The sequence below is a fragment of the Homo sapiens genome, chromosome 7 (genome assembly GCF_000001405.40).
Source record: "Homo sapiens chromosome 7, GRCh38.p14 Primary Assembly".
Classification (NCBI taxonomy): domain Eukaryota; kingdom Metazoa; phylum Chordata; class Mammalia; order Primates; family Hominidae; genus Homo; species Homo sapiens.
The window spans coordinates 135,423,609-135,443,097 of NC_000007.14; the positions used below are offsets into that span (position 1 = coordinate 135,423,609).

Genomic DNA, 19,489 nt, shown 5'->3' on the forward strand with positions numbered 1-19,489 from the left:
CCTTTTATTCCCACTTTCAATTTTAACTTACTGCTTTTTAAGGAAACTTAATACTCTTCATAGTTTACCTTGTTATCAATGAATTAGAGCTGGTGACCCAAAAAAGATTCAGGCTTAATCCTTAACAGTTTGGTAGGATGTAAACACCCATACCACTTGATTCCCACATTAAGAATCTGGATCTTTGAGTTAGTGGATCCTATTTGGCATACTCCAACTTATTTGTGAGTGGAAGGCATACAAAGCAGCTTGCTTAGTAATTTACCTGATTTTGGTATGATTTTAGGACTTTCTCCAGGATCAAATATAAATTTAGTATGATTTCAGAAGCTCAATAAATATTTGCCAAGCAAACATCAAAAGCTACTCTCCAGAATTGAAAACTCAGCATTTCTGTGTTTTAAAAGCCACCAAAACAAACAAACAAACAAAACACACACACACACACACACACACACACACACACACACACACACACACACATTTTTTATTAAAACATAAATTATTTCTTGCATTTTAATTTAAGGAACCAAACAGTTAAAGATCTATTAAGGTAAGTTCAGTTCCTCAATCAATTACGTAGTCATCCACATTTAAGTTTTTTCTTAATGCCTTCCTCTCAAAACTTCCTTCTCCACTTACTTTTCTGTACCTACATTAATTATCTCCTTCAAATCTTAATCTATCTGCCTGGATGATTTTAATCCCTTGAAGCTATTTGGAGCTCTAAAGGCACAAATGTAAAAAGATATAAAAGTGAACTATATATTAACTAATTAAAACACTTTTCTATAAGATAACTTAAATTTTTCATTTGCACCTAGAAAAGCTGTTTTCTACCCCAGAATTCCTGGGGTAGTTCCTTCTGAAGTGTTTACAATTAAGTTCATTTGAGGCCAGGCGCGGTGGCTCACGCCTGTAATTCCAGCACTTTGGGAGGCTGAGGTGGGTAGATCACTCGAGGTCAGGAGTTCAAGACCAGCCTGGCCAACATGGTAAAACCATGTCTCTACCAAAAATATTTTTAAAAACTAGCCGGGTGTGGTAGCATGAGCCTGTAATCCCAGCTACTTGGGAGGCTGAGGCAGGAGAACTGCTTGAACCTGGGAGGCAGAGGTTGCAGTGAGCTGAGATTGTGCCACTGCACTCCAGCCTGGGCGACAGAGCCAGACTCCTTCTCAAAAACAAACAAACAAACAAACAAACAAAAAAAAACAAACAAGTTCATTTGAAAGCTGTTGCTCTTCACTGACATCTAAAACACCGATGCTCCACTGCCTGAATGGATCAAACACATGGATTGCTCCTAGTTTTGTTTCAAAGTATAGTTGACGCACTGCCTTTTACCAGTCCATAACAAGGAAAGTACAAAAACTGAGATAAGCGTTCAGAAACTCTCAGAGCAACTGACACTACCCCAACATTCAGGTCCATCACCAGTGGACTCTGCAGAATAAGATATTTTTCAATGTAGTCGAACATATGACACAAGCAAAATATTAGCCATGCATAATAGCACTCTATATCAGTCCTCAACAGACAGGGGAAAAGAAAGAAAAGAAAAAATCTGGTTCTTCATCACAGAAGGCGTAAGAAGCAATGATGTAACTTTTCTGGGACTTAGATTTTTCTGAGAACTGGCAGAATGTGACAAACACCCTCAAGCTGTTTCCTTTGTTAGTATTCTATGAGGTTGTATAAAATACTGATTACACATGAGGCAAAGTCATGTAATATTTGAAAATACATGAACACAAAAAAATTGAGGGAGAGTGACAAGTAAGAAAAATCAGGTTGCAATATCAACTCTTATCAAGTATATTACTGATGCACCATCATGTTAAGCATATAACACTGAGTTATATTGTTCTCTTAGTCTTTTTGCTATGTTATTCCAAGTTTTGTTCCTATGGAAATATATTTCCATCAGGCTTCAAAGTCAACGTTGTTGGAACATAACTGCTACATAATACAAAAGATACAAACACAGAAGAACATGAGACAGAGTATTCTACTACAATTTACCCTCCAAATATATCTTATTCCAGTACCTTAAAAGAAGTTATAAATACTAGTTGTTTAATCTTAACACCTGAAAAATATAAAATATGCTAACCACAAATAGCAAATGCATAATCAAAAGGTTTATTAACTTCAACTTGTCCAAAAGTTTTATTAAAACATTGGAAAAGCATGTATTCCAAAAAAGTTCCTCCTCCATTACAATTCCTTCACTACACACACCACCATATATACCTACTGCACAAACCCAAGGTCAGAATATCAATAAACTAATACAATAAAATAAGGATGAGAGGTAGACTATAAAGATGGGAGGGCTGGGTGCGGTGGCTCACACCTGTAATTCCAGCACTTAGGGAGGGTGAGGTAGGAGGATTGCAAGACAGCCTGAGCAACACAGTGAGACCCCCATCTCTACAAAAAATAAAAAAAAATTATCCAGGCATGGTGGTGTGCACCTACAGTCACAGCTACTTGGGAGGCTGAGGCAGGAGGGATGCTTGAGCACAGGAGTTCGAGGCTGCAATGAACTACAATGGCATCACTGTGCTCCAGCTTGGGTGACAAGGCAAGACCCTATTTCAAAAAAGCGGGGGGAAATGAAGAAACCAAACACGAATAACTGCAGACAGTGAGACTCACAAAGCTAATATTACTAGCACTAAAAATGGATATAAAGAAAAATACAAAGGCTGGGCACGGTGGCTCACGCCTGTAATCCCAGCACTTTGGGAGGCCAAGGCGGGCGGACCACAAGGTCAGGAAATCGAGACCATCCTGGCTAACACGGTGAAACCCCATCTCTACTAAAAATAAAAAAAAATTAGCCGGGTGTGGTGGTGGGCACCTGTAGTCCCAGCTACTCAGAAGGCTGGAGCAGGAGAATGGCGTGAACCCAGGAGGCAGAACTTGCAGTGAGCCGAGATCGTGCCACTGCACTCCAGCCTGGGTGACAGAGCAAGACTCCGTCTCAAAAAAAAAAAAAAAAGAAAGAAAGAAAGAAAAATACAGGCTGGGTGCAGTGGCTCATGCCTGTAATCCCAGTACTTTGGGAGGCCGAGACGTGTGGATCACCTGAGGTCAGGAGTTTGAGACCAGCCTGGCCAACATGGTGAAACCCTGTTTCTACTAAAAATACAAAAATGAGCCAGGCGTGATGGCAGGTGCCTGTAATCCCAGCTACTCAGGAGGCTGAGGCAGGAGAATCGCTTGAACCCGGGAGATGGAGGTTGCAGTGAGTGGAGATCACGCCACTGTACTCCAGCCTGGGGAACAAGAATGAAACTCCATCTCAAAAAAAAAAAAAAAGGAAAAATATATCTGATCAACTTTTTGACTAAAACACATGTTAAATTTCTAGGAATATAGCATCAAATGAAAAGTTACAAGCAGAAAATTTCTCTTTAAACATACTATTGTGCATTACATATCAAACTAATGCAAAATAGGTTGCCTATGGAGAAGTATTTAGATATAACACTATTTTTAATAGTTATAAACTGCCAAATTACTAGTTAACATGGTTTGCAGTTTCTAGTGTAATTACTTAATTTCTTCCATATGTGTAGTTATGTTTCCACTTTTATTCCAAATGCTATTTACATGTGTCTTCTCTTTACTTTTTATTAAACTTGCTAAGACTTTAATTATTTTATTGGTCTTTTCAGAGAACCAGCTCTAATCTTTATTGAAAAACTTTTTTTTTTCCTATTTCACAAAATTCTGCTTACTCACTCCCTTCCACTGTCCCAGGGCTTATTCTTTTTCTGATTTCTTTTTCTGATCCCTTCCACTGTCATAGTACTCATTCTTTTTCTAATTTTTGTTGTTTTCTAATAAATGTATTCACAGCTTTAGCTTTTCTGCTGCATACCACTTGGGCCTCATGCCAGATATTCAGAAATCATGTTCCAAGTATTGATTCAGAATAATTTGTAATTTTCTTTTTGATCTCTTTAAACCAAGAGTTATGGAAGACCATAATTTATGTATTACAGGTAAATGAACTTTTAAAAAATCCTTTTGCTGTTAACATCTAATTTGATTATACTATTTTTTTAGGGTTCTAGTTTCCAGTAATGGAGAGCTAATTAACCCTTTTACTAAAAACCATGAAAAATACAACATAAAAATTTTTTTTTTCTTCTTACTAACATCCTAAAAATCTATACTGGAAAAATCCCAAGCCAGTTTTTGGTTGAAAGTAAAAATTCAGAGCCTAAACAGAAAATCTGATTAACAATAAATGGGGTAGGGAGAGAAAGAGCTAAGGAGAAAGAACATTCAAAGCCCAACACCAGCTCATGGTAGTCTTTGGCAAGATAGGTTCCATGATAAGCTGAGATACAGCCCACCTCCAAACGGTGGGCTCAGGATAAGAACAAATTACAAACCAGAGGATAGTCTCAGGGTAAGAACAAACTACAGAAAGGTCAGACTAAGGTAAGAAAAAAGAAAAAGTAGGTAGGGGAAAACCATCCTGGAGAAATTGTTGAAATCAACCCTAGGGAAGAGTTGCAGCATGGAGATATATTGCTTGGCTAGACCAAAAACCTTTAAGCACATGGCAGCCCTAATGCCAATGCTTACAGGACCCAGCAGAAGCCAAATTGAAGCCTCTCTAGAGAGGAGCAAATCCACACTAGTCCTTGGGGAACCTTACAAATAATTTTCTCAATGACAATAACAAGGAAGCAGCCACATTAACCAAACACAAAGAAATACAACAACATGAGCAACAATAAGCAGAAATATAGCCCACAGACTTCAGCCACTGGAATTACTGGACAAAGATGTTTTTAAAAAATAATGCTTATCTGTTTAAAAAATATATAACCTTGAAAATACCTACAGGGTATAATAATCTATTTTAAAATAACAGCAAGAGAAAAAAAAGAGCAAACATTACTTCTAGGTATGGAAAACACAAAACCAATAGTTAAAAACTCAACAGACATATTTAGTGGCAGATTGGATACAAAACAAACTATTCGCACATGAGGACAGGTCAGAATAAATCATTTACTAAGGTATGAAGGAGAAAGAACATACAGAAAAGAGATTAAGAGACATAGAAGACAGTGAAAAAAAATCTGAAAAATATTTAATCAGAGTCACAGAGGAGAAGAAAGAGAAAAAAGGTTGTATCTGAAGAGATAATAGCTTAATTTTTATCTTGAACTAAGGAAATTCACCAGCCCACAGATTTAAAAAGTCTCCCAAGGAGGATAAATTTTTAAAATACACAAGGGAGATTTACTTTTTGGAATTGGCTAATTTTTCCATTGTGGCCTGTTTTTTGACCACTGCTCTTGTATTTAACATTGTGACAAATTTATCTGTACAAAGTTATACACACACACATACACACACACATCTTGCTAATTCTGTTATTCAAATTCCCCATTTTCTTTTCATTGTCTACTTCATCTATTTCTAAAATACAGAAGGGGAAGTCTCTCCATTATAAATACGGATGTCAGTTTCTCCTGGTGTTTATAATGGCTCAATATACTTCAAAGTTGTACTGTTAAGTAAAGATTCATGACTTTGTGGAACTTTTGCCCTTTTAAAATGTGTTTGATCTTGAATTTCATTATGACTAATATCAGTACTATTATATCTTCTTTCCTATGATTTCCATTTGCCCACTGTATCATTTTTCCCTCCTTTCATTGATATTTTTCTTGAATATGCTTCTAGTCAATTGGTTCTACAAGTTTTGTTAGGAAAAAGAGCAGTCCCCCATTTTCCCTCCTCCTCTACAACCAGTTGCCTCTTCCTAGAAATAATCATGTTGACTCTTTTAGATGATTCTTTGTCATTTACTACCATATCTCTAAATAATACATCCATATTGCTACTTCTTGATTTCTCAGTTTTAGATATCATCACATTATGCAACTTGAAGATTTAGCCCTGTCAGTTCCCCTCATCAAACATCCCGAGTCCACTTTCTAATTTCTACCATAACTTTGGTTAGGGCAATATTCAGGATTACATTATTATAAAATGCAAATGTTATTTACACTCTTCCACTTCCAGCCATGAAAGTAACAGACAAGCCCTATCATCATAAACAACTGCAGAACTAGACAAAATACAGGAAATAACTATTTTCAGACACTGAAGAAACAGGCAATGAACAGCAGGACTGTGATCTCTGAGAAAAAAGAAATAAGACCGATGAATACCATAACTACCCCAGCTTTCTGCTCTTCCAGTACTTACCAGATCCTGGTACTGGGTTCAAGAGTCATAATGAATGGAGGGGACAGACAGTGATAAAAATTAGAAGAGGCTGAGACAACTGAAATTTATGGGGGCAAAATACCACAAAGATGGAGTTAGTCCAAAAAGAATCCCAGAGGTCTACATACAGGAATATTGTGATAGCTAGTTTTCATAGGTGTCTTTCCAACGAAGATACCTAGTAGAGTCCATGCCAATCATGAATTTAGAAAAGAAATAAAAAAAGAATACCAATGACACGCAAACTCTTTCAGAAGGCAGAAGATGAGGAAACATTTCCCAACTCATTTTATGTGGACAGTATTCCTTTGATACCAAAACTGAAAACAATATAAAACTACAAAGAAATACCCTTTATGACACAGACAAAAAAATCTTCTGAAAATATTAGCAAACTGAATATAAAAAGGGTAATACATTATAATCAAGTGGGGTTTATCTTTGAGAAGAAAAGGTGATTTAAAAATTAACATAGGCCAGACGTAGTGGTTCGTGCCTATAATCCCAGCACTTTAGGAGGCTGAGGCAGGAGGAACACCTGAGGGCAGTAGTTCAAGACCAACCTGGGCAACATAGCGAGCCCAGTCTCTGCAAAGACAAAAAATTTTTTTTAATTATTCAGGTGTGGTGGTGCACACCTGTAGTCCCAGCTACTTGGTAGGCTGAAGCAGGAGAATTGCTTGAGCCCAGGAGGTTGAAGCTGCAGTGAGCTACAATGAGGCCACTGTACTCCACCCTGGGCGAGAGACCAAGACCCTATCGCTTTAAAAAAAACCAAAAAACATAAATTACTGTTTCAACAGAATAAAAGGAGAAAAAAGTATAACCATCTCAATAGTATCAAAAAAGGTATTTGGCAAAATTCAACACCATTCATGATAAAATCTCTCAGCAAATTAGGAATAAAGGAAAACTTCCTTGACCTGATAAAGACCAGACCAAAAAATGCACACACAGCAACATACTTAATGATGTAATACTTAATGCCTTCCTGCTAAGATTGGGAACAAAGATATCTTTCTTATCACTTCTTTTTAATATTAAACACTAGAGGAGTTACCCAGTAGAATTAAGGCAAGAAAAAGAATTTAAAAACACAGAGCCAGGTGCAGTGACTCATGCCTATAATCCCAGCATTTTGGAGGGGACTGAGGTGGAAGGATGCTTGAGGCCAGGAGTTCAAGACCAGCCTGGGCAACACAGCGAGACCTTTACAAAAAAATTTTTTAAACAATTAGTTGGGCATGGTGGCACATGCCTATAGTCCCACCTATTGGGAAGGCTGAGACAGAAGTACTGCTTGAGCCCAGGAGTTCTAGACTGCAGTGAGCCATATTTGTGCCACTGCACTTCATAGCCTGGGCGAAAGAGCAAGACCTTGTCTCTAAAAAAATTTTAAAAAGCAGAGATTGGAAAGGAAAGAGTAAAACTGTCTTTTTGCATAGAACACATAATCACCTATGTAGAAAATTCTAAGGAACCTATTTAATTAACAAGGCTTCTTGATATAGATGGTCAACATTCAAAAGTGGTACATTAGCAATAAACAACTGGAAAGTGAAATTTCAGAAACAATATCGGGCTGGGTGCGGTGGCTCACGCTTGTAATCCTGACACTTTGGGAGGCCAAGGCGGGTGGATCACGAGGTCAGGAGATTGAGACCATCCTGGCTAACATGGTGAAACCCTGTCTCTACTAAAAATACAAAAAATTAGCCAGGTGTGGTGGCACACGCCTGTAGTCCCAGCTACTCCAGAGGCTGAGGCAGGAGAATCACTTGAACCCGGCAGGTGGAGGATGCAGTGAGCCGAGATCACACCACTGCACTCCAGCCTGGGTGACATGAGTGAAACTCCATCTCAAAAAAAAAAAGAAACATATCATGGGCCATAGCTCAAAAACATAAAATATGGATAATATAACAAACATGCTGTACTATTATGTATACTGAAAACTATAAAACATTGCTAAAGAAATTTTAAAACATGTAAAGATATACCTTATTCATGAACTAAAGGAGTCAACATTTTTAAGATGTCATTTTTCCTCAAAATGATCTAACTGTAGAGTTAAGGTAATCTCCATCAAAATCCCAGTAGGCTTTTTGTTGAAACTCACAAACTGATTCAAAAATTTATGTGCAAATGCTAAATACTTAGAATACCCAAAATAAATTCTAAAAAGAATAACAAAGTTGAAAACCTTGTCACGCCAGGTTTCAAAACTTACAATAATAAAGACAGTATGGTATGAGCATATGGATAGATATAATCATCAATGGACAGAATACAGATGCTAGTATTGGATTTATACATTTATGGGCAATTGACTTTCAGGAAAGATTTCAAAACCAATCAAGAGTGAAAGGACAGTCTTTTCTGCAAACGATGCTGCAACAAGAATATCAGCATAGGAAAAAAAAATATATCATGACCCCTACCTCACATGTGAGCCACTGCAGCATAATATGATTGCTTTTTCATTTCTCTACAACTTTTTGTTTCCCCTAGAGTTAATCTGTTTTGTCTGATTATATTTTTAGGTGTTCATTACTAATTCAACCATCAAATCTCTTCAAACTGGCAAAATGGTCTCACAAGACATTTCTCTTTTAGAACACCAAGTATTCTTTTAATTTTATCTTTTTCTACAAATCCCTCTTGCAGTTCTCTGATGTGTTGCATTTTGGACTGGTTGCCCTCTTTACCTTGGGCACAGCTGTCATCCTTTCCCCAGGGGCTTCTCTCCTGTGTTGGATCTCCTGTTTCCTTTATCCCATGATTCTCTGTTCTTTATTCCTTCATGTTGGTGGGGCACATCCTCCAATAGATTCCTGGGAGAGAATGCATGGAAGGTAAAAAAATTTTGAGGCCTCTCAGGTCTGAAAATGTCTTTTAGTGTACCGTCACACTTAACAGTTGAGCAGATACGGAATCCGAAGATGAAAATTAATTTCCTTCAGAAGTATCTTCTAGCTTGAAGTCTTGCTATTGAGAAATCTGAAACGATTCGGATTCCTTGTCTTTTACATGCGATCTGCTATTTTCCTCTGTGGAAGCTTGTAGAACTTCTTTGTCTTTGGTATTCTGGTATTTCCAAATAAAAAAGTTTGTGCTGGACACTTGATAGGCCCTTTCAATCTGAAAATGTGTTCTTTGGTTCTGGGAAATATTCTTCGATCATATTCTTGGATGATTACTTCCCCTCTGTATCACTGTGATCTCGTCCTAGAGTACTGATCTCTTCCTAGAGCACTTAATTGTTTGGTATTTGACGTCCTTGATTGATCCTCAGATGAACTTAATCTCTTCTCCCAAATATTTCATCTCTTTTGCTTTTTGTTTCACTAAAAGATCTTCTCAACTTCATCTTCCAATGCTTTCCTTCAGTTATTTTTGCTATTATATTTTAATTTTCAATGACAATGGTTACTGTTCACTGAATATTCTTCTTTATATCATCCTGTTCTTTTTTTTTTTTTTTTTTTTTCTTGAGGTAGTATCTTGCTCTATCACCCAGGCTGGAGTGCAGTGGCATGAACATGGCTCACTGTAGCTTCAACCTCCTGGGTTCAAGCGATCCTCCCACCTTAGCCTCCCGAGTAGCTGGGACTACAAGCATGTGCCACCACACTCAGCTAATTTTTCTTATTGTTATTAGAGATGAGGCCTCGCCATGTTACCCAGGCTGGTCTCAAACTCCTAACCTCAAACAATCCTCCCACCTCAGCCTCCCAAAATGTTGGGATTACAAGCATGAGCCACCATGTCCAAACCACCATCCTGTTTTTGTTTCATAGATACATTATCTTCTATTATTTCTGAAATAAAAATAATAATACTTCTGTTGAAGTTCTCATTTCCTTGTATAGTCTCTGGTTTCCATGGGAATCAATACAGAATGCCACATCAGTGCACCACCTATGTTCCCATATCTGCTGTTTCCACTAGTAGCTTTCTCAGAAATGCTGCACTAAAAGGACACATGAAAGCAGTCTAAGAAAAAACCAAGTAGCCTGTGCCTGTGTTTAGCAGCTAGGACCAAACGGGAACACTAAACTCTCTTGGTTTTTAAAATCTGGCTGTCTCTGCTTTTCAAAGATATTAAAGCTAAGAGAAACTTTCTGCAAAACAGGCACGTTTCATATTGTAGACTGAGAACAGGAGCTTGATTCAACTAGCTCCCTACTTGCATCTCCCAAGTTTCTTCAGATCATCTCAATATGCCACCTCACAGCATGGCCTCTGTAGACCCTGTGCCTGCAGGGTTGGGTTACATGTAAATGGCAGCTTCATGACCCTCTCTAGGCCTCTAGCAACATTGTGGTTTTCCTCTGTGTTAACACAACCACTGTAGATGGCCTCCAGAGACCAAAGACTTGCTTGACTCCGACCGACACAGGCAACTTCACAAATATTTATCTTGCGCTGCGCTGAGCAGATTCTCTGGCAAGACTAGGCCAGGATTCAGACTCCAAGACTCTCTGCTGCCTGCACTACAAAGTCTGGTGACCAGGAGACCAAGAAGAGGTTCTAGGAGATGTGATTAAGTCAACAAGAAACCAAAAAATTATTCCTGGCCTAATAACAATAACCACCTCAGCTAAAGATGTAACTTGGAGACCCTAAAGGGAGGTTGTCTTAGACCTCTGTAATCTGGATTTCTTTTTTCTGTAACTGTTGGAAAGTTTTGGTGCTTATCCTTAGACAATCTTTCATCTTTTCAATTCATGATCTTATCCAGTCTCGTGATGTTATAAATAACACACTATATGCTAACTGACACCAAAATCTGTATCTCCATACCAGAACCTCACCTGAAATCCAGACATGAACATTCATTCACCTGTCTACTCAATATCTCCACTTAGATTTCTAATAGGAATCTCATACTTAACATGTCTAAAACTGAGTTTCTGATCTTCTCAAATGTCTATTCCTGGTGCAGTCTTCCCCATTTCAGTTAATGGCCATTCTTTACTTTCAGGTGTTCAGTCAAAACCCTGCAGTCATCCTCAACTCTCTGTTTGTATGGTGGTTCATGAATAATAAAGTTCATGAATCTTTGCATGTGTGAAAATGTTTTATTATGCCTTTACATATTAATAAAATTGAGAGCTCTCCTTTCAAAGTTACGTTCCCTCAAAATTTGGGAAAATAAATTTCTCAGTTTATTTTCTGTAATTGTAAAATGAAAATACCGGTATTAATTTTAGTCTTGTTCTGTTGTATTCTAAATATTTATCTCTCACAAGCTTTTAGAGTTTTCTCTATTCTAGATGTTCTAAAATTTCACAATTATATAAACAAACATTGATCTTTTTCAGTCACCTTGCTTCACACTCACAGGGCCCTTCTAATCTAAGAGGAATTTTCTTCTATTAGTTCTTTGATTATTTCTTCCTATTCATTTTTAGTTCACTCCTCTGAGACTGCTCTCAGCAGAGATTAGAACCTGTGGATCTATGCTGCTTTTCCTTCATGCTTTCTATTTTTTCTCTTGTTGCATTATATTCTTCAATAAAAACCCACTCAGCACAAGCTTCCAATTTATCAATTTGCTCTTATAATGTGTCCATTTTGCTTTTCAGGCCATCTATAAGATTTTTCAAGACCTCTCTAATTTGTTCTTTTTATAAGGAAATATAATCTTTCTACATGAATATGACATTCCCTCTTTCCTTTCCGAAAGGTACCAATGATAGTTTTAAATGTCTTTCTGTTTTGTTTCCTGTGTTAGGATCTTCTATTTACTGAATTTTGTGCTTCTCTTTCATGATGTTGGTTTTCCTGAAATCTGTGTTAATTCTTGTTTTTGCACACCTTTACATGTGAGAATCCTGGTAATCTGCCTATAAATGCTATTTCTGTTTACTGCAAGATTCTCCTTTGTGACTGTAGCAAAGACATATTGCTGGACAGGTAATCTGCTAGGTATAGAAGCTCCTAGTTCCTCCAGAATGTTTCCATTAACCTTAAGGCTCTGATTCAAACTTATAATCACTGTTTTAATTAGAGGGCATCTGTCTCTGCTACATGGCACAAAAAAGGGGGTAGGCCTATAAGGCTGCTCTGACACCATACTTGACCCAACTACACTGATATTTTTCCTAGGATCCTGAAGCACTCCCATTCCTTTTTTTTTTTTAAGCAGTTTTCTCTTGAGCTGATCTAATGCTTCCTCCTTGAAATTGATTCCAATGTCCTTCTTGTCTTTCAGAGATTCCTCACACTTTCTGGTATTCCCAGGACACCCTTTTATTCATATCAAGCTTGCTAAAGTTATACTGTTTTTACCTTTAAAATCTTCTATTTTTTTTTCTTTTTTTACTTTCTAAGGACTTGAAGTAATTTTAGGTAATCTCTTAAGATTGAAATGACTTTCTTTGTAATTTCCCCAAATAACTTATTTTTCTGTAATGACAATTTAATAACTGGTCCTTTTAAGGTGACTTCATAACATCCCAAAGGGAAAAAAAAAAGAAAAGAAAAAGATAAACATCATGAAGCCAATCAAATTTACAATCCTTAGAGTCTTGGGCAATCCTGAAAGTCATTACTTCTGATGAAATAGTTCAATATGATTGTCTTCTTATGGAATGACTGGGGAACCAATTTCTAAAATATAACTAAATGTTCAAATCCATAAACAAAAATTTATATAGATTTTTCCCAAAGCTAATGTTAGGGTTTTCATTTACCTTTCCATTCACATTTCTTAAACTATATTAACTACATGAAATATTATATATATACAAATTATATATACACATTATATATGTTACATATACAATATATGTGTAACTATATAAATGTATAAACTATATTAACATTGAAATAGACCTAACTTTTTATTCATATAATATATATACATATCCACTGGATTAATTTTAAAAATCTAATGATAAATAAACAATGCATTGCCTTCTGAGATTTATTATAAATTCTCAGGTAAGAAAACTAAGAGACAGATTATTTTTTAAATTTTAGATATCTAAAACACATTTCAGCTTTCTCAAAATTTGATAGTAATGAACACAAGAGGTCTTTAAAATGGGTAATTAGAAAATAAAGTTTAAATTATACAAACATTAAAGAAAAGGCAAATTCCATAATAAAGTGGCAGATATTTGCATTAATCCCTAAGGTCACAAATAAAGTCCTTCAAAATACAAATGTGGCAGTCCTACCTATCCTAGTAGTTAATTCACTATACTGTAATTGTGTCGCTGGTGCTTATCAAAACAATAAAACCCATAGAATATTAAAAATAATAGATTTTTAGAGTTAGGAGGGGCTTTTCTTTTCTTTTCTTTTCTTTTTTTTGAGACGGAGTCTCGCTCTGTTGCCCAGGCTGGAGTGCTGTGGCACGATCTCGGCTCACTGCAAGCTCCGCCTTCCGGGTTCACGCCATTCTCCTGCCTCAGCCTCCCAAGTAGCTGGGACTATAGGTGCTCGCCACCACGCCTGCCTAATTTTTTGTATTTTTAGTAGAGACAGGGTTTCACTGTGTTAGCCAGGATGGTCTCGATCTCCTGACCTTGTGATCCGCCTGCCTCAGCCTCCCAAAGTGCTGGGATTACAGGCGTGAGCCACCGCGCCCGGCCAGGAGGGGCTTTTCAATAATACAATAGTTCAGAACAGACTATAGACTCAAAAGACATTTGAATTCCAAACCTCCTACCTACTACTCACAAGTTGATGACTCTGGACAAGTTATCTAAGCTCCTGTTTCCTTGAGTGTAAAATGGGAATATCAATACCAGCCTAAAATTGCTGTAAGGGCTCAAGAAATGAGCATTTATTATCTTCTGAACGAGGATTTCTCTGTCATTTTAACTCTTTTTAGTAAACATCTTCTCTCCTATTTTGTACTAGAAAATTAAGGTGAATTTCCTCCCACATGTAATATAAAATGTTTTTCTAATTTCATGCAACCCTATCCAAATCCATTACCTCTCTATTCTTAATTTCCTTAAGCAGTAAGCATCCCTGACCATGTCTTTCTCCTCGGATAAAACAACAACAAACTAAAGGCCAATCAGAGAGGTTACATGACTTTACAAAGATCATACAGCTAGTAAACAAAGCCAAGACGTGGCCCTGACTCCCAGTGCAGTGTTCTTTCCACCTTATATCTTAAAATAATACACATAATAAAATAATATAATCAGGTGAGGTTTGCACAGTCTTTTAAATTCACTTGCTCATATACATGGCAGCAAAAAACTATACAATTAAAACAAATCACTGTGAAGTTATTTTGAAGTATTTACCTTTCTACATGCAGGACAAAGCCCATTTTCATCAGTGCGAATTCGATGCCAACAAAATCGGCAAATCTGGTAGCCACAGGTGCAAGGGAAAAAGTTGATATCATCTATCTCCAAGGGCTCCATGCAAAGAGGGCACTCCACAGGGTCTTCCTTCGCATCAGGACTGCGAGACATCTTCACGTTTATTAAACAGCAGCAAAAGTTTATAATAATTTAAGGGAGAAGGAAGTTCAGCACTGAAAGCTAAAATGTAGGACTTTGACGACCTGCATGAGAAGAAACAAAATACATTGTTTACTACTGGAAAAATGGCACAGTCAACAATTAAGAGTCACACTGTCAAAAAATTTGAAAAATACTGACTGAGCAACTACTGTTATCAACCTGAAATGGCTTTCAGAATGGATTTCTGAAAATTTTGAATACCAAAACAAAAGGCCTGGCATCATTAATATTTTGGATTCAACATAAATAAAAAAGAACTTCCCTTTTTTCTCGATAAAACATTTAGTACTAGCCTATAGCACTCATCATAACACATTTTAGGGGAATAAATAAGGTAAAACAGCACTCTTAACTGTCTCATCTTTGACCTAAAACCTAGTAATATTGCCACATAACTAGAAGACTATTACACTATTCTAAAGTTTGTCACAATTTATAAAACAAATCGAATGAAAACAAGATACTTCAATCATCTATAGTTACATGTTAACATCAAACTCTTGACACAGAGAAACATAGGCTAAAACTCAGAAAAACTCGGATGCCATAGAACCATAGACCTTAACAATACAACTAATTATGTAATAACATGCTAATGAAAACTTCTGAGAAACACGTATTAAACAAAAGTATTCCTATGGTAATACTACAAAAAGCCTATAATAAACAGGAAGAAAGAAGGGAAGAAATAGACCTTCATATCACAAACACTTTTTGAAAAGTTAAATAATATAACTTTTTAGATTATAGGGAGTTTTAAATTTTTAGGTAATATCTTAGGCTAAAGCCACTGTTAGATTAAAAGGTTAGCTTGAAATCACTACTTTAAGTTAAAATCTGATAGCCTGCAAACTAATCTATAATTCTATAGTAATCCCCACCAAAATCACGGTGGTAATTTTTTACATAATTGGACAAACTGATCCTAAAGGTTACATACAAGAATAAATGCATGAGAATCATTTTGAAGCTTCTGGGGAAAAAAGTGGGAATTTGCCCTGTCACATACTAAATTATACTATAAAGCTACAGTAATTTAAATAATTTCCTATTAGTATAAAATTAGACAAAAGAGCAAAGAAACTAAAGAATCTAGATATAGCTGGGTACAGCAGCTCATGACTGTAATCCCAGCACTTTGAGAGGCCAAGGCAGGAGGACTGCTTGAGGGCAGGAGTTCAGCTCCAGCCAGGAGTTCAAGACCAGCACAACATAGCAAAGCCCTCATGTCTATAACAAATTTTAAAATTAGCTGGGCATGGTGGCGCACACTGTAGTCCCAGCTACTTGGGAGGCTTGAAGCAGGAGCATCGCTTGAGCCCAGGAGTTCAAGGCTGCAGTGAGCTATAACTGTGCCACCACACTCCAGCATGGGTGACAGAGACCCTGTCTCAAAATCAGAAAAATCTAGAAACAGACTCATGAATTTATGAGGTTTTAATATTTGCTAAAATGTATAACTAAAGATGGGAAGGCTGGACCATTTTATAAACAGTGATGGGACACTGGGCTATCCATTTGAATAAAAAATAGTATATAATCTAATACTGCAATTTTAAAAAATCCCAAATGATCTAGTGATCAATAAATTATTGAAGTGTTAAAGAAAAAAAAAACAGATTTTTTTAAAAATCTTGGGATATAGAAGGTCTTCATAAGCAAAACAAAAATTCAGAAGCCATAAAAGGAGACAATCAACTTAGCAACATGGAAAGAAGAAAACATAAATAAAATTAAAAGTAAGCATCAGAGTAAAAGATACATTTGCTACATATAATGAAAAGCTAATGTCCAGAATATATAAAGAAATCCTACAAAGCAGTAAGACACAGACAAGTTAAAAAAAAAAAAAAAAGAGACAAGAAAATGATAAGCAGTTCACAGAAGAATTACAAGTGATTAAAATACATGAAAAAATGATCAATCTTTAGTTAACAGCCAGGTAACTTTTTTTTTTTTTTTACCCCATCAGCCTGTCAAAGAAGTTAGTTTTCACCCAAAGTAGAGAAGTAGAGAGGATCAATGATCTAGCGCCTCTTTCAAAAGAGGAAATGGGAACACATTATTTTGCCTTAAGTTACACACTTATTAGTATAGCCTGGATTCCTTCTAGGAAGTTTTAGCCCTAGATAAGCTGTGCTCTTAACAACTCCCTTATACCACCTCCTAACTAAGAACCTATTCTACATAAATAGTGACACCAACATAGCCAAGTGTTTGGCTATGTTCTACAGCAATATAAGAGTAGAAAACTGCAGGCCGGGTGCAGTGGCTCACGCCTATAATCCCAGCACTTGGAGAGGCCGAGGCAGGTGAATCACGAGGTCAAGAGAGCAAGACATCCTGGCCAACATGGTGAAATCCCGTCTCTACTAAAAATACAAAAATTAGCTGGGCGTGGTGGCACATGCCTGTATTCCCAGCTACTTGGGAGGCTGAAGCAAGAGAACTGCTTGAACCCAGGAGGCGGAGGTGGCAGCGAGCCGAGATCATTGCACTCCAGCCTGGTGACAGAGAGAGACTCCGTCTCAAAAAAAAAAAAAAGAGTAGAAAACTGCAAACAGTATACTGTCCATCTGTCCATTAATAGGACAATCATTAAGTAAATATGATATAACATAAGGTATGTTGATCAGAATGTCTATTCTAGTTATACTTTTTAAAGAACAGCAAGTATGAACATACAATTACTTTCATTAAAACATATAAACCCTGTATGCATATATATTTGTTTCGCTAAGAAAATAAACACATGGACGTTTAGACACCAAAATGTTGTTATTTCACAAAAGACAAAACGGAGGTAGGAGACTACTAATTTTTTAAAGAAAAATCCATATTATCTAAATGCTGCAAAAAAAAATGTATTTTTTCACAATTCAAATGGCCCTTTAAAAAAAGAGGAAAATTGTTTTCATTTCCTTTAGAAAAATTAAATTACTTCTCACTTTTGCTAATAATTAGAAGAAAAATACAACGAAATAGTGTCTTCTTGTGAATCTATAATTATTTCAAAATAAAATTAAAAAAAAAAAAAAGAAATGCCCAGATTTGCCACTATCAGTTTTCAGCATATATACAGTTAGGAGTTTAAAGCTGACTTCTAATAGGTCCCCCAACTTTAAACATCCCAAAACTGTACCTGTAGAAAACACAGACTCAAATATCGGTTCCAATAACAGAAAAGTAAACTGAAATAATCAAATGGTGCTATCTACACTTCTAATACCTTTGATTCTAAGATATCATTTCTTTAACTACAGGTTATTAGAGTTTTAGTGAAATAATTTATGGAATGTTGGGAAGGAAGCAATACATTGGGGCTTATGAATAGAAAAGCTTTCTAGAAGGTAAATTACCATAAATAAAAAATGATATACTGATGTTTTGCTTTTTGATTGTTTCTGTTTTTTAATTTTAAAAAAGTTTACAAGAGTATGTATCTTTCAGTTTAGGGGGAGGTTTAGAGGAACAAAAAAGGGACAAAGGAGAAAGAAATCCTTTAGATAGTTAATACAAAAGTAAGTACATTTGTGCACCTCTAGCACCATGGAGAGAAGCCACAGAAGCCAGCTGCCAAAAGTAATCTCATAAATGGTAAAAGGTAGGAGGAGGGTAGTCTGATGTGGTAGAACACTGCAATACAAGGTCAAAGAGTTGACTGACTCACCTCTTTCACAAAGTAACTATATGATCTTGGATAAGAAATCCAAAAGAATTTGATGTACTCATCTGAACAATGAAGAAACACAAACTTTTAGGGAATTTCAAGTACAGAGCAATTTCCTAAATGTATTATAGTACCCCTCTGAACTAAGCTTTTAAAATAAGCTTTGAAATCGACTCTCCAAAATACCCTTGCCCAAATTTTCATTTAGAGAATAATTTTACTTAATAAGCCAGACAACTAATATTAAAATTAAAACTAAACAGGGCGGCGCGGTGGCTCATGCCTGTAAATCCCAGCACTTTGGGAGGCCAAGGCGGGCGGATCACCTGAGGTCAGGAGTTCGAGACCAGCCTGGCCAACATGGTGAAACCCCGTCTCTACTAAAAATACAAAAAAATTAGCCGAGCGTGTTGGTGCATGCCTGTAATCCCAGCTATTTGGGAGGCTGAAAAAGGAGAATTGCTTGAACACAGGAGGCGGAGGTTGCAGTGAGCCGAGATTGTGCCACTGCACTGCAGCCTGGGCAACAAGAGCAAAAACTTCGTTTCAAAAATAAATAAGTAAAATAAAATAAAACAATGCATTCAAATAATAAGATTTAAAATGTTACAAGACATAGAAATATCTTTTTAAATGAAAAGGGCAAGAAAAGCCAATGATTTCCTGAGTGGGGTGCAGGAGTCCTTAGAATTAATTTGGCAGGGAAAAAAAATATTCATTTTTAGCCATAAACAGTGGCTTACACCTGTAATCCCAGCACCTTGGGTGGCCAAGGCAGCAGGACTACTTGAGGCCAGGAGTTCAAGACCAGCCTGGGCAACACAAGGAGACCTTGTCTCTATGAAAAATTTTTAAAATTAGCCAAGTATGGTGTTGTGTGCCTGTGGTTCCAGCTACTTGGGAGACTGAGGCAGGAGGATTGCTTGACCAAAGGAGGTCGCGGCTGTAGTGAGCCATGTTCACGCCACTGTACTCTAGCCTGGGTGATAGAGTGAAACCCTGTCTCAACAACAATTCTGCAGGCACGCTGGCTCACACCTGTAAC

At 36.8% G+C, this 19,489-nt stretch overlaps 1 protein-coding gene across 16 annotated transcripts in view; it reads right to left on the reverse strand.

Moving 5' to 3' along the window:
• CNOT4 (CCR4-NOT transcription complex subunit 4) overlaps positions 1 to 19,489 on the reverse strand; it is a 148,308-nt gene that overhangs the window by 61,814 nt on the left and 67,005 nt on the right. For all 16 annotated transcript variants that reach the window (NM_001393373.1, NM_001393371.1, NM_001393375.1 and 13 more), the window contains one exon: positions 14,550 to 14,815. In NM_001393373.1, coding sequence (NP_001380302.1) covers positions 14,550 to 14,723 — 174 coding nt within the window. In that variant the 5' untranslated portion in view covers positions 14,724 to 14,815. The remainder of the gene's footprint in view (positions 1 to 14,549; positions 14,816 to 19,489) is intronic.